At 37.4% G+C, this 16,902-nt stretch overlaps 1 long non-coding RNA gene across 1 annotated transcript in view, besides 1 other annotated feature; it reads left to right on the forward strand.

Moving 5' to 3' along the window:
• LOC105371953 (uncharacterized) overlaps positions 1-16,902 on the forward strand; it is a 155,413-nt gene that overhangs the window by 80,991 nt on the left and 57,520 nt on the right. Inside the window, exon 5 of the long non-coding RNA XR_001753318.2 lies at positions 3,835-3,964. This is a non-coding gene — a long non-coding RNA (uncharacterized LOC105371953). The remainder of the gene's footprint in view (positions 1-3,834; positions 3,965-16,902) is intronic.
• Positions 11,653-11,947: an enhancer, noted in NCBI's record as "tiled region #5202; HepG2 Activating non-DNase unmatched - State 24:Quies, and K562 Activating DNase matched - State 9:DNaseU". NCBI's record gives its function as "activates a minimal TATA promoter and a strong SV40 promoter by Sharpr-MPRA in HepG2 and K562 cells {active_cell/tissue: HepG2 | K562}" and the evidence as "EXISTENCE:reporter gene assay evidence [ECO:0000049][PMID:27701403]".

Consider the following 16,902-nt stretch of genomic DNA (forward strand, 5'->3'; position numbering starts at 1 on the left):
TATGAAAAGCCCTCAGCTAACATTATGCTCAATAGTGAAAAGTTGAACACTGTTCCTCTAAGCTCAGTAAAAAAGCAAGGAAGCCCACTCTTGCCACTTCTATTTAACATAATACCAGAAGTCCTAGCCACAATTAGGCAAAAAAGAAATAAAAGTCATCCAAATTGGAAAGGAAGAAGTAAAATTATCTCTATTTGAAGATGACATAATAATATATATAGAGAAAACCCTAAAGACTCGACCAAAAAATATTAGAACTATTAAATGAATTTAGTAAGTTGCAGGATACAAAATCATCACACAAAAATCAGTGGCATTTCTATACACAAACAATAAACTATCCATAAGCTAAATTAAGAATTCAATACTACTTATAACTAGCAACAAAAGGAATCAAATAGTTACACATAAGCTTAACCAAAAAAGTGACACTTTTACACTGAAAATTATAAAACATTGATGAAGGAAATTAAAGAAGACAGATAAACGGAAAGACATCCTGTTTTCATGGATTGGAAGAATGCATATTATTAAAATATCCATATTTCCTATAGTGATCTACAGATTCAGTGTAATCCCTATCAAAATCTCAGGGCCTATTTTTTTATATTAACAGAAAAAACAATCCTAAAATTCACATAGAACCACAAAAGACCATGAATAGCCAAAGCAGTCTTGAGAAAGAAAAACAAACCTGGAGGCACATAACACTTCCTAATTTCAAAATATGTTATAAGTATACAGTAGAAAAATTATACTACAGGCATGAAAACAGACATATAGGCTGATGGAACATAATGAAGAGCTCAGAAATAAATTCATGTGCATTAGTCTGTTCTCATGCTGCTAATAAAGACCTACCCAAGACTGGGTAATTTATAAAGAAAAGAAGTTTAATTGACTCATAGTTCCACTTGGCTGGGGAGGCCTCAATCATGGCAGAAGGTGAAGGGGAAGCAAGTCATGTCTTACATGGCAGCAGGCAAGAGAGTTTGTGCAGGGGAACTCCCCTTTATAAATCCATCAGATCTCATGAGATTTATTCACTGTCACAAGAACAGCACAGGAAAGACGCACCCCATGATTCAATTACTTCCCAGCAGGTCCCTCCCACGACATGTGAGAATTATGGGAGGTACAATTCAAGATGAGATTTGGGTGGGAATACAGCCAAACCACATCATCATGCATCTATAGGGTTAACTGATCTTCAGCAAAGGTGTCAAAAACACACAATGGGGAAAGATAGTCTGTTCAACAAATGGTGGTAGGAAAATTGAATGTCCATATGTGAAAAATAAGAAACTGGATCTTTATCTTACAATGTACACAAAAAAGTCAACTCAAAGTGGATTAGAGATTTAAGCATAATGCCTAAAACTATAAAACTTACAGAAGAAAACGTAAGGCAACATTGGTCTTGCCAATGCTTTTATGGATATGAAATGAAAAGAAGAGGCAAAAAATGCAAAAGTAGACAAACAGGACTATATTAAACTAAAAAGCTCCTGCACAGCAAGTAAAATAATCAACAAAATGAAAAGGCAATTTATGGAGTGGGAGAAAACATTTGCAAACCATATGTCTGATAAGGGGTTCATTTCCAAAATATACAAGAAAAGTAAACAACTCATTAGCAAGAAAACTAATAACTTGATTTTTAAATGAGCTAAAGACTTGAATACACATTTTTTTAACGAGGACATGCAAGGGACCAAAGCATATATGAGAAGATACTCAATGTTACTAACCATAGTGAGATATTACCTCACACCTGTCAGAATGGGCATTACAAAAAGAAGGGACATTTGTTCAATTGTTGGTGAAGATGTGGAGAAATGAGAACTCCTGTACACTGTTGGTGGGAATATTAAATGGAGCAGTTGGTATCAAAAACCAGTATGGCATGTAAATGGTTAATATTTCATGTCAACTTGACTGGGCCAAAGGATACCCAGATAGCTGGTAAAACATTATTTCTAAGTATGTATGTGTGAAAGTGTCTTAAGAAGAGATTAGAATGTGAATCAGTAGACTGAGTAAAGAAGACTGCCCTCACCAATGTGGGTGGGCATCAGCCAATCCATTGAGGATAGAACAAAAAGGTGGAGGAAAGGCAAATTTCTTTTCTGTGCTTGAGCTGGGACATACATCTTCTTCTGCCCGACATACATGCTTTGGTTCATGGGCTTTAGGACCCATATTGGGACTTACACCATTGGCCTTCCAATTCTCAGGTCTTTTACCTCAGACTGCATTATACCACCATCTTTCCTGGTTCTCCATATTGCAGATGGCAGGTGCTGGCACTTTTTGGCCGCATAACTTTATTAGCATATATATATATGTGCTAAATATATATATAATTAAATATAGAATTACTATATGACCTAGCAATTCCACTTCTGGATATTTATTCAAAAGAATCAAAATCAGGATCTCAAAGAGATACTAGCATTCCCATATTCATTTCAGTACTATTTACATTAGCCAAGAAGTAGAAACAACCTAAACGCTCATGGAAAGATGAATGAATAAAACTGAGATATATGCATACAATGGTTATTATTTAGCCTTAGAAGAAAATTCTGCAAAATGCAACAGCATTGAATGAACTTTCAATGAACCTTGAAGACATTATGCTGAATAAAATAAGCTAGTCACAGAAGGACAAATGCTGCATGAGTTCACTTAAAGGAAATACCTAAAGCAGTCAAACTTAGAATCACAGAGTAGAATGTTGCTTTCCAGGGACTTACGGGGAGAGAGACAGAGTTGCTAATCAGTGGGCATAGAACCTCATTTATACAAGATGAATGCATTCTAGATATCTGCTATACAACATTGTGCCTACAGCTAACAATACTGTATTGTACGCTTAAAAATTTGTTAAGATGATAGATCTCAGGTTAGGTGTTCTTAGCACAATAAATATATTTTTTAAAAGATCCAAAATTTAAATGCTTAGCACATGGGGGTTTATTTCTCATTCCTTCTACATGCACATCATGAATTGGCTAGAAGCTTTAATCCAGGCATCCATATTCACAGGTTGATAAATAGCCGTCATTCCAAATTTGCCTAACTGTGTAAGAGAGAAGTGGCAAATAGACACAGTTTCTTAAAACTTTCACTAATAGTGATGTAAGTCGCTTCTACTCACATTCCTTTATCCAAAGAGGAGATGGGGGGAAAGAGTGCAACCATATCATGTTCCTAGAAAGAAAACCAGAAATATTTTTTTAAATTATTATTATACTTTAAGTTTTAGGGTACATGTGCACAACGTGCAGGTTTGTTACATATGTATACATGTGCCATGTTGGTGTGCTGCACCCATTAACTCATCATTTAGCATTAGGTATATCTCCTAATGCTATCCCTCCCCTCTACCCCCACCCCACAACAGTCCCTGGTGTGTGATGTTCCCCTTCCTGTGTCCATGTGTTCTCATTGTTCAATTCCTACCTATGAGTGAGAACATGCGGTGTTTGAAAACCAGAAATATTTTGTATGACCATAGTGCAATAGACTGGATGTTTGCATCCTCCCAAAATTCGTATGTTGAAATCTTAACCCATTGTGTGATGGTATTAGGAGGTGAGGACTTCGGGAGGTGATTAGGCAGCCTTGAATCACAAACTTAGTGTCTCTTATAAAATCTGAAATGAGAAGTGAAAGTAAGTAAGTCAGTCCATTAGACTACAAATCTGTCTCCTACACTCCTAATAAAACTCTTTAGTGGAGAACACTTCTAAAGAGAGCAATACTCTGAATGGAGTTAGTGCCCTTATAATAAAAGAGATCCAAGAGCTCCCTCACCCTTTCTACCAGGTGAAGACAAAGTAAGAAGACAGGCCGTTTGTGAACGAAGAAGCAGTCCCTCACCAGACACCGGATCTGCCAGTGCCTGGATCTTGAATCTGCTGGTGCCTTGATCTTGGATTTCCCATTCTCCAGAATTGTAAGTAATACATTTCTGTTTATAAGCCATCTGGTATTTTGAACTGGGTGGTATTTTGTTAAAGCAACCCGAACAAGTCTAAGACAATTGTATTCTTTTCTTTAAAAGTATAAAATTCAACCAGTATTATTAATGTCCTTCAGTGGGATTCACAATTATAATAAGATTAAAATAAATGTAAGCATATAAGGTCAACGTAGTTATCTTACTACTCTTAGAGAATCAGTTGACAGAATTCAAGTCTGTGGCATTTCAGCAGCCCTGCCAGTTTGCAGATCCTTGAAGCCTCTTTGCTAAAACTAAGGAGACTCTCTTCCAGGAAGAGAAAGCTCTTGTTTGCCACAAAACACTCTTTGGGTATACGAATATGTTTTCTTTTTAAAAACAAATAGCAAAGGTCGACTTAGGTCAACTTAGCTACCATTTTTCCAGTGAGAGAAATGATACTCTTAGAACACAAGTGACTTGCCCAAGATCGACTCCGGGTAACAGATTCCGATTCAAGCCCTTTGATTGAAACATCCAATACTCATGTTTTGTCTTGGAACACATATGCATTATTTAGGAAATCACAGGACTCTGGGGAAGGGTAAGAAACGTAAGCACAGTTATAAGGATGTTGGGGAAATTAACAGTGGCTTTAAGTTTGCCAACTCTGGTTTAAATATTTCTTGCATTAGGAATTTTTAAAAAAGCTCTGCAAAATTACAGTGTATTCATGTAATTTATCATCTTTTTTCTCCACCCTAATCATAGTTGTTAAATTTATGTGCCTAAAATGCAGACCACTTTTGAGTGCAAGTTTGCTTGGCATATACCAAAAAGTGATCCAAATTGGATACAAGGCTAGGGAGATGCAGTTCGAGCCCACATTGCCATTTGCCTCACCAGCTGGCACTGTCTCACAAGATGCTACCAGATGAGCCTTCATGAGCCTTCTAAATCAACAGAGAAATTCAGAGTGGAGATATCAAATATGCCATTACTGCTAAAAGCAAGAAAATGATATTACATACCTATTTGATACACTGAAACAGTCTTGAATCACCAATTGAGTATCTCTTACAAAAACTGGAATGAGAAGTGGAGTAAGTACATTAGACTACAAATCTGTCTCCTACACTCCTAATAAAACTTTTTAGTGGAGAACACTTTTAAAGACAGCAGTAGTCTTTTCTCCTCCATTTATAAGGACCCTCAATGTGTTTGGATAAAGGAGAGGGAGATAATGATGTACTAGGTAGAGACCTCAAAAAGAAAAAATGTGGCAGATCTGGGAACTGGTAAATAGAGGAAATGGTATCCTCTATTTAGCCACTTTGGCTAAAAACGCCACTCTTTCCAATCTATAATCCTAATTTCAGAACATGGCACTCATCACACACCATCTTGAAATGTAACGATTGTTGTACCTGTGTCATTGTCCTTACCATAATAGTGTAATGAAAAGATGCATGACTTAGAACCTGATCAGCCTGATTTGAATTTAAAACAACAAGTATCTGCATTGTCTTGAGTAACTTACTGATTTCTGTGGGTCTTGTTTCCTCATATGAAATAAGGCTAACATAGTTATCCCTCACAATCTATGGGGGTTTTGTCCCAGGACCTCCTTAAAATATCAAAATCCAAGAATGCTCAAGTCCTTTTTATAAAATTGCATGTTCTCACTTATAAGTGGGAGCTGAACAATGAGAACAGATGGACACAGGGAGAGGAACAACACACACTGGGGCCGGTTGAGGGGCTGGGGAAAGGGAGAGCATCAGGATAAATAGCTAATGTGTGCTGGGCTTAATACCTAGGTGATGGGTTGATAGGGGCAGCAAACAACCATGGCAGACATTTACCTATGTAACAAACCTGCACGTCCTGCACATGTATCCCAGAACTTAAAATTAAATTAAATATTTTAAAAAAATTTTAAAAATTTAAAAAAATGCATCGTATTTGCATAAAACCTATGCACATGCTCCCCATATAGTTTAAATCAACCCCAGACTTCTTATACTACCTAATATAATGTAGATGCTATGTAAGTAGTTGTTATTAATGTATTTTTAGGGGATAATGACAAGAAGAAAAGTCTATGCATGCTAAGTACAATTGCAATTGTTTTTCCAGGTAGTTTTGATGCTTAGTTGGTTTAATCCATGAATGTGGAACCCACAGATGCAAAGAGTCAATTGTACCTACATTTCAAGATTGCCAAAAAAAAATTAAATGAGTATATATATATATTTATGTATACATATATCATGTCTGGTACATAATAGGAATATAATGACAAGTATTATTTTTATTGTTATCGTACAATTTTGAGACTTATGCAAAGGCTAGCAATTTTATAGAAAAGATAATAGAGTTTTTCTTGAAAGAATAATGAATGAATGAAGACATAAAAATACAGAAGTTATATAAAGAAATGCAGGCCATGTGCCATGCTAGCTCAGTAGGATGGCAGTACCATGTGGGATCTGTAAAAGTTCAAATGCTGATGTCGTGCTTTGTTAATGAAAAAATAACAACTTTTTATTTTAAAATGTTTCTAAATAATAGCTCCCAGAAAATTTATGAATATTCATATTTTTGATAATTCATTTCACTCTTTCTTCAAATTTTCTCAGGACATAGATAAATACACATACAGCAAGGTCTTTTTATATTTAATATAAAAGTAAGATTTATGTTGCTTTTTGCTTCATAGTATTTCTCAGTTTGTAACTATAGTCTTATTTGTGTGAGTACTTGATTAATAATTTCTTATTCTACTAGACTTAAAGCTCCATGAGGGCAGGGACTGGGTTGCTTTTGAATTATCTTGGTGGCGTAAGTTTTTGACACAGTGGCTTGTGCATAGTAGGTATTCAAAATAATGATTTGAGGAACAGAAATTATCCTTTTCACTTCCTAAAAGTATGCCAAGAGGATCGACATTCTATATTTGGTTTTAGTTTTCATTTTAAACAACTCAATTATAAAGGAATTGTGAAGAATTTATAATGGATTGTTTTAGACCATTTTAGACAATCAGATACTCCATTACTTGCATGTGTTAGAGAGCTTTTCAAAAATCAAGTGTCAGAGGTGGAAACCTAAAATAGCACTCTGCTTTCAACTAGTGATACTATACAGACTGTGCTCTGACTCAGCATCATATAGAATAATCTCTCAGGATGCTCTTCCTTGCTCTAGTGGCACACTCAAAAAAGACACCAATGTTTATGGAAACTGGGATCAGAGCTAGCAACAGTCTTTGCTTCAGGCCATATGTTCTAAATGCAGAAGAAAATTCCAAAAGTAAAAATTCCATTCCAGGATCCCTGGACTCAGCTATAATTATCCGCTCTTGACAAGTTCTGGCCTCTGACATCTGGATCAAGAATCATATGTGAAAGAAAAAAAAAAGTCTTAAAGAAGGTGTGGTTGGTTTTCAAGTAGAAGAGAACTTGTAGAAATGATTAAACATCAAACTGCTGGTAAACACACATGCAAACACGGTTTTATCTGTTTACAAACAACCCTGAATATCCTTAATGTAGAATAATATTAATAGGATTAAAGATACTCACTTCATACGACTATTTTAAGGAGGAAGTGAAATTATATACATAATGTACCAAGCCAAAATTGGAATCTGAATACCAGCTGATATGCAAGGTGAGTACTCAATCAATGGGGAGTGAAGGAGTTGAGCCAATCACTCAAGAGCCACCTCAACCACTTGTATTCAAGAGCTGAAGATTAGTTTTCAGTTTAATCTTCTACCTTCACATATATTCCAAATGTAATCACTTCCCATGACCTTTACCACTCCCATCTAGTGCTGGCTACCAGAATGTCTCCTTCAGACTTCTGTCTTTCCCTAGCCCTATCACCTCCCCTTACCTCTCTCACTTTACCTTCCCACCTACCACCTCCCAATTGGGTATATTATCCACAAAGCAGTCAGAGTGATCCTTTTACAATAAAAATCTAATCTTGTCATTCCCCTACTCAAAGCTGTCCAACAACTTCCCCATTAAATCTAAATTCCTTGCCATAGCCAACAGTAGCTGGCCACTGACCTCACCAACCATCCTTTCTTAAACTTCACAATGGCTGATGTTATAGTTTATTTGATGATTACTTGTTTTATTTGCCCGAATGCAAGCTCCATGAGAACAAAGACAATATTTGTTTCATTATTCTACTCCCAGATATGTGCATTAGTGCACATAATAGGCACTTAATGACTGTTTATGGAATGAAAGGATGCATGAGTATATCTCATCCATATTTAATATCAGATATATCATTGGGAGATGAAGTCAGTAGAAAAAGAACTCCTAGTTACAGCTATAAGGAAGACAGAATACAGTTTTCAGTGGTAGAACAAAAGGAGTCAAAACAGGAATAAATGCAATGTAGAAACATAAATATAGGCAATAGTGTTATTAATTTTCAATTGCTGTTTAACAAATAACCACAAACTTAGTAGCTTAAAATAGCACCCATTTATTAGCTCATAGTTCTGTAGGTCATTGCAGGCAAGCTTGACCAAATTCTCTCCTTAGGGCCTTACAAGGCCAAAATCAAGTTGTTGGCCAGGAGGGGCTCTTACCTAGAAGATCTGGGGAAGAATTCACTTCTAAGCTTCTTCTGGTTATTGGCAGGATTTAGTTCCTTGCAGTTGTAAGATGGAAATAGAAGCTTCCTTGCTTGCTATTGGCTGAGGCCACTCTCAGCTTGTAGAGGACACCCGCATGCTTTGCCATGTGACCCCTCCACCTTCTAAGATAGCAGGGCCATGTTGAATCCATGTCTTACTTGGAATCTCTCTGACTTCCTCTTTTGCTGCCCACCAGAGGAAATTCTCTGCATTTAAAGGGCACAAATAATTGATTAGATTAGACCTACCTGGGCCTGATTAACTCCCTTTTGACTAACTCAAAGTCAACTGATTAGCAATATTAAGTACATTCATAATAGCAGGCATGATAGCTCATTATACTCACAGTCTCAAAGATTAGGGCAGGAAATCTCGAAGTGGGGTGGGGCAGAGAGGCATTTTAAACTCTGCTTATCACAAAAAGCTTATCCTAAACTAGATACCCCAAACTAGAACATTTAAAAGTGTTGCTCTTTGGGATCTCTTTCTTGCCCTTGACAATTAGCTTAAGACTCATATTTTCAATTTGGAAGCATTCGCATGTAACTTTTGCTTTTATCCTAGGAGCACAAACTTCACAGAGAGGCCTGCAGTCCACTGAGCTGAAAATCAAACCCATAAACAAAATGTCATGCTATAAAGATTAGAGAGAAAAGACCAAATTTCCCTAGAACCTGTTCTCATTCTTATTTCCTGTAGTCATCAGGATCTTCTTGCATAGAAAGAATGTGCAAATTCTCAACCCCTGGACACTGATTCTGTTTCCTACAAGCCGCAGTGTTATGCTTGTATTAATGTGCTGTATGGAAATACCATATGCTTCCAGATTTTATTTGTGTAGTGCCTTCTAGTTTTCAAAATACTCTAAGATATTTAATCATCTCAACCCTGTAAAGTTGGGAAATAACTTTTTTCTCTGTTTTACAAATGACAAAATTGGTGCCCAGAGTGACTAAATAATTTGCAGTTCCATGAGAATTTACTGGCACACTTAGTACTAAAGTCCTAATTCCTAAATCTGTGTTCTTTCATATTCGAGACTAGAAGCAAGAATGTCAGTAGACAGAGTTCTGTCCAGAATTTCTTCCTTGGCTGGTGCCTGTTAATCTTGTGGGCCTGTCTGTTCTTGTTTATTGTAGGTAGCATTTAAGAAGAACCCCATGAAGTGTTTGGCTAGTGATCTCACTTCAGTGCCTGGGTTTTAGCACAGGGCAATAAAGGAAAACCCTCAGTGTAAAGGAGGAAATATAAGAGGAACTGCCCCTTGAATAGGAAGGAGGTATCCCAAGGAATAGCAAAAGGGACTCTCTCAGGATGCTGTCTCTGACTACAAGTAAAACAGTCCATTACAGGGTATCCGAGCCAGGGATGCAGGTGGTGGAGGTTCCAGCTTGCTCATGCAGCTGTGGCCTGCTATGGTGAATTGAATCCACATCTAGGACCTATTGGAGCAGTTCTATAGCAAAAGGGGGAATGAACTAAATTACCTACTATCAGTAATACTCATCAGTAATACTGTTAAGAGAATTTGATTACAAAAGTCCATTCTCATCCACAATGATTAATTTCTTAATATGTAGCTTCCAGCCAACTTAAATAAGAAATAAATACTGTCTATGTGCAGAATTACCAAATGATAAAACACGTACAGCTTAAGAGTACTGGCTTTGAGAGCAAACTGATTAGGATACCAGTTTCATATCCGTTGCTTATTAGCTACGTGACTGGGAAATTTATTTAACCTATCTGGGCTTTACTCTTCTCATTGATAAACTTGGAATGAGAATATTACCTACCTCAGAGAGTTCTTGTGAGGATTAAAGCACTTTGCTCATAGTAAGCATAATTAAATGTTTGCTATTGTTACCATAACTCAGTATTAAAGAATATGTCTTATATTTTTTCCAATATTTACTGGCATAAATATAATGATGAGTCTCATGCAATATGATTATGGAGACTCATAATTATTAAAATAAGGTGATCTGTGAGACAATTTGTGTTTAAATTTATACTTAAAAAAAAGGTAATTAATAAGATTTAATCCAGAAGTAACCAAATTGCCAGGCAATTGTATCTGTTTGTAAACATAACTGCTGGAATATATATGAATATAGTTAGTTATTGTGTATCACCCAAAACAGCTTCTGCAAGAGAAAAAGAGTGGGTGGAAGATGTGGTAGAAAACACTCATTTTTAAGATTAAGTGTGAAATGTGTTGGAAATCACCATGGAGATGGTGTAAACAGCCAAATTACCCCAAATCCAGCAAAAGTTTGAAATTAGAATTCCTCTGGATTTTATAAAGCAAGATACTCTTAGTGCCTCAAAGCCCCAATAACAAATAGTGTTTTCAGGGATAATTCTCCCTTCCCAAATGTTGAAATTAAAATGCCATGTAATATATCAAATTACTAAGTCAGTCAATGGATAAAAGTTTTAGAGGACAAATGTAAAGTCCCACCTTTTACAGTTTTAAGAAAATGTTTTATATCTAATTATCCTGGCAGTAAAAAAATGGAAGAAAGAGATTTCTTTCAAGTAAACTGGCCACCACTTCCGTCCAGGCTTCTTTGTGTCTTCCCTAATAACTTTGAGAGATTATAGACTGTTATTGGGCATGTATTGTCTAAGGAGGCATGCTGCTAACCTTTCTTATAGTAATAAAATCATTCCATATTATTTTATAAATAGAAAATGAGTTTGGCTGATAACAATAGCCTTCAGCTGATTTTTGATACCCAGGAGCACCAGGCACTTAAATTGTCTTAAAATACAGCAAAATGTTTTTGGTTCCAGTAAACATTGTATCTCCACAAACCATTTTAAGTAAAACCCATGAAGCCAAGAGTTAATGTTGTTAGAAACAAATGCTCGGTGCCACAAAGAAAATGAGCACTTAAACAAGATTTTCCCAGCAAGGCAAATTTTACTTCTGCAGAAGGGTGCTGCTTGTGCCAGGCATGGTCTCAAGAGCACACCGAACAAAGGAGAGAAGGGGTTTTTATCCCTAATGCAATTCTTGCTTCTGTGTCCTTCACCTGTTGGCTGGGGTTGAACTGCACAATCTAAAGAATCCCGACTGGCTAAAGCTTAAACTTCCCTAAATAAGGTAATAACACAAGAGTGTTGATGGCTGAAGCAGAAGAGGGAAGAAGTAAGGGTGATAAGGCTGCCGACAAGGCAGGTTTGGGCGTGTCTGAGCACCGCGAGGGTGGGAAGGGTAGTTTACAAGATGAATAAGGACTTTTTCCAAATAAGGAAGTTGATCTTGGGAACAAAGAACAGGGAAGCTAACAGTTAAACCTTTGAAGAGGAACATATTGTATCTGACAATGTAGAGAAATAATGTTATTTAAAAATCCAGAAGGAAAGAAATAGGATATGCCTCAGACAGAAAGTAAATGTTCAGTTTCTTCCTGCATTAACCAAAACATAGATTCCAAAATATTATACAAGTAGAAGCCGACACTAGAACACTAGAACCCAACACTAAAGTGTGCACATCCTGACAATCAGTCCATTTCTAGTTCTTCAGCTGCCACTCTCCTGGTTGTCTGCATGCACTCAGTGTAAACCCCCATTCACATGACTTTTAACTTTTAAGTCAGAAATCCTCCTCCATTTGGCACACACGTGGTGGGAGGTTCCAAATGAAAAGTCTAGGACTATTCCTCTTGAAGTTCTTAACTTAGCTCTCTTTTCTGTAACTGTAATCCTGACACCCAAGGTAACACTGCCCCTTACACAGAGATTTTGGAGACTCGAGTCCTGTTGGCCACATCACCAGCATCACCTTCCTTCTCTATAGCCTATGTCACTTACCCAACAACATGTTACTGGAGCACTAAAATGGGCATGGGCAAGGATAGGAGCTGCCAGATAGGTGAGAATAAGGGATGTAGAGATAATCTTTAAATACATTTTCTATCTAGTGGCACAAGATGTTTATGAGGTGGACGTTTTAACACACACTGGAACCTATCAGAGGGTGAAGGGTGGGAGGAGGGAGGGGATCAGGAAAAATAATGGGTACTAGGCTTAATAGCTGGGTGACAAAATAATCTGTACAACAAACCCCCATGACAGAAGTTTACCCATATAACAAACCTGCACATGTACCCCTGAACTTAAAAGTTAATTTAAAAAATCAAGGTAGATGTTTTATTCCTTTCAATAAATAGCTTTAAAAAAAGTAAGCATAGGAACCAGACCAGGAAACACAGATCCAACTCTTTAATGGCTTCCAAATTTTCTGAGAAGGTGAGAGGGCTCTGAGATGCTGTTTATTTTTGGAACAAAACAGGAACCAATTTGTAAGTAGGCAATAGCCTACCTGGTACAATTTACCTTCCCTAAAATATCACCATTGGGGTTGTTTCATGGTTCTTAACCCATTCTTTGGATATAAACGACCCCTTCTATCTTAGGAAAACCTTCTTAAAGTACAAAAAACTTGAAAGCAGATATTGTTCTGCACAAATAGCAGGAACATTTCACTTGTTTTAACACCCAAATAGCAGTAATCCAAATCTGCATTGTTTGATCTCTGGAACTCTAATATCTCTGGAAATCCTGGAATGTATATTCTACAGATATGTACTGTTTCTTGTCATCTCAGCAACCTTCAACTGCCCCTAAGCAGGTCACCTCTCAGCCTCTTTCCTATTCTCCCAGTATAGAAACAAACATAAGACCCTCCCCCAAAGCACAGTTAATTAGAACTAACTTTAATGTTTAGCACAATGTGACTAAAACCTGTGGATAACAAAGCAGAAATAAAAACTTGATCTGCACATTAAACTGAATACTAGATATGACTGCCCTGGGCCATCCCAACCCCCCAAATCCCCTTACCAGTTCTCATCCCTCAGCCACTGAGCTCGAGGGACCAACGAGGCAGCTCACGGTGGGAGTGACATTCCACCCACGCTTCACAGTCAGGCTACTCACAGTGTGTGTAGGGCTTCCTTTCTAGGGGAGGGTGGTTATTTCTCCCATAGCTACAATAAGTACCCTGTACAGTTAAAATATAGAATAGAAAAAGGGACAATGCTACAAAGAAAGCTGGCTATTAAACTATGTTATCACGTAGAGCAGTTGAGCTCCTCAAATGCCAAAATCTCCATTCCAGAATAGGACCCTGACTTTTCCATGTATAGAACCAAAAAGTAATTAGAGACTTTACCTAAACAAAGGAACAATATAGTTGTTTCTAAAACAAAAACAGAAACACTACTGGCGATTTTAGCATAGCAGTCCCTTTCCACACACTTCTACTCCAGGGTATAAAAACTGTCAAAAAAAATAGTGGACCTTTTTCCTAGCTTGAGCTTCCTGCAATGAAAGGATTAGCCAGTTTAATCCTAACAAGAAGCCTATGAAGTGGGCATTATTTCCCCATTTTACAGAAGAGGAGACTGGTCGGAGGAGGTCCAGTAATTTTACCCACCATCACCCAGGCCCGTCTGACTCTAGCACCTTGATAGACAGCTAATAAGAATGTGGCGGTGGTAATGACACGAGAAATGAGGCTTAGCTAGAAGGAAAAGAAGGGACCCAGACAAGGGCCACAGGAAGACACCAAAGGAACAGCCTGCTTATGGCAGGGCCTGCACACTCCATCTTCATACCTGCATCTGGGAGAGATGGCATAACTCATGCCACCAGCATCCTCGACTTCCTGGCTTGAGTTAGTGCTGACATGCTAATTAGTTCAAGTTGCCTCTTGAGTCAACTTGGCATTTAAGATTTATTCATCCTTCGTAACACACTCATTTTCTAAAATCTCTTTTAAAAAATTTTATTGGTTCACGTTGAAGAAGTCTGAAGTCAAAGCTCTAAAGTCATTTACCCTGCTATATGAAGGCAGCCAATACTATTATCATTTTAGAGCCCAGTTTATGTCTTCCGTCATTGCTATTGGCATACACTGATTAGAGAGTCTCCAGAGACAGGCCACCAGAATGTAATTTAATCACATGCATTTCAAGCATTTGTAGTGCAGCAGCAACTGCACTCATCCACAACTACGACTGTGAACCTCTCAACAGAGTTAACTAACAATATCTCAAAGAAAGACGTGGGACCTAAAATTCAAGTCATAATTTTATCATAAAGAGAGACAAATGAGAAAAACACAATAATTGCCCTTGTATGGAAAACTCCTCTTACAAATGATTCTATTTAACAAATCCAAATTTCTGATGATGTATACAATACCAATCACAAGCCTATTCAATATACCTAAAATAATATTTTGATACTGGTTTTGACTTTATAATGAGGCTGTTAAAAAACTCCAAAAGTTCTGGAGCACTATGGTTGAATAAACCTAACACTACTGAATTATACACTTTAAAGATAGTTAATGTGGTAAATTTTATGTTATGTGTTTTTCACAACATATAATTTTTTTTTTTTTCTGAGATAGAGTCTCGTTCTCACTGAGGCTGGAGTGCAGCGGCGTACTCTCTGCTCACTGCAACCTCTGCCTCCTGGGCTCAAGCAATTCTCCTGCCTTAGCCTCCCAAGTAGCTAGTATTACAGGCGCCCACCACCACACCTGGCTAATTTTTGTTTTTTTTTTTTGAGATGGAGTCTCCCTCTGTCGCCCAGGCTGGACTGCAGTGGCGCGATCTTGGCTCACTGCAAGCTCTGCCTCCTGGGTTCACGCCATTCTCCTGCCTCAGCCTCCCGAGTAGCTGGGACTACAGGCGCCCGCCACCACGCCCGGCTAATTTTTTGTATTTTTAGCAGAGACGGGGTTTCACCTTGCTAGCCAGGATGGTCTCAGTCTCCTGACCTCGTGATCCGCCCACATCGGCCTCCCAAAGTGCTGGGATTACAGGCATGAGCCACCGCGCCCGGCCTAATTTTTGTATTTTTAGTAGAGACGGGGTTTCACCATGTTGGCCAGGCCGGTTTTGAACTCCTGACCTCAAATGATCCGCCTGCCTTGGCCTCCCAAAAGTGCTGGGATTACAGGCGTGAGCCACCGTGCCGGGCCTAAAAAATGTTTAAGTTAAAAAAAGTAAATTGAAAAAACTCTAAACTCTAAAATTAAAGTTAATTGAAATTAAATTAAAGTAATATTCCATGGATTGAATAATAATAATCATAACAAATGATGATAATGATAATTTTAAAAGATTGATTCGAGGATGTTACAAGTTGCTATGTTGGCTAATGTATAAGTATTATCATTAAATTAGGCTATAGGCAGTTTTGTTTAAAAGGTGGGGATAAAAATAACATTTAACAAATATTTCCATTAAATTTATTTAAAAAGTATAATTATTTAAAAGTATATGCTTCTTGTGCTTAAAATTTGCATGCTAGAAAAGCTTTTTCTCTGGAGACATTGAATAATGAATTTATATTATGCTAGGGTCTCAGTGAGGAGGAGCTCATTGAAGATAAATGCAAAGTATACAGAGCTCTGAGGGAGCAATAATGATTTTTGTAAAATTTTGCAAACAACATATGAATGTTTTAAATCCTAAATATTTAGGATCTTAAATACTAAATATTTAATTAGGATTTATTAGTTGTGAGATCATATGATCAATGAGATTTAACCAATGACTACAGGGGTCACAATAGCTTATACTACTTGCACAGTTAGCAAATTCTCCTATTTTCTAAATTAATTATTTAAAAGATTATATAATGGTAGAGACAGCATTTTTATAAGCTGTAAACAAATGGACAAACATAATTTAGTCTTCTGAAGATTAAAATTCCAAGGACTATTTTGAAGGAGAAATAGGAACACTTTTACACTGTTGGTGGGACTGTAAACTAGTTCAACCATTGTGGAAGTCAGTGTGGCGATTCCTCAGGGATCTAGAACTAGAAATACCATTTGACCCAGCCATCCCATTACTGGGTATATACCCAAAGGATTATAAATCATGCTGTTATAAAGACACATGCACACGTATGTTTATTGGGGCACTATTCACAATAGCAAAGACTTGGAACCAACCCAAATGTCCAACAATGATAGACTGGATTAAGAAAATGTGGCACATATACACCATGGAATATTATGCAGCCATATAAAAGGATGAGTTCATGTCCTTTGTAGGGACATGGATGAAGCTGGAAACCATCATTCTCAGCAAACTATTGCAAGGAGAAAAAACCAAACACCGCATATTCTCACTCATAGGTGGGAATTGAACAATGAGAACACATGGACACAGGAAGGGGAACATCACACTCTGGGGACTGTTGTGGGGTAGGGGGAGGGGGGAGGGATAACATTAGGAGATATACCTAA

Source organism: Homo sapiens, chromosome 18, assembly GCF_000001405.40.
Source record: "Homo sapiens chromosome 18, GRCh38.p14 Primary Assembly".
Lineage (NCBI taxonomy): Eukaryota > Metazoa > Chordata > Mammalia > Primates > Hominidae > Homo > Homo sapiens.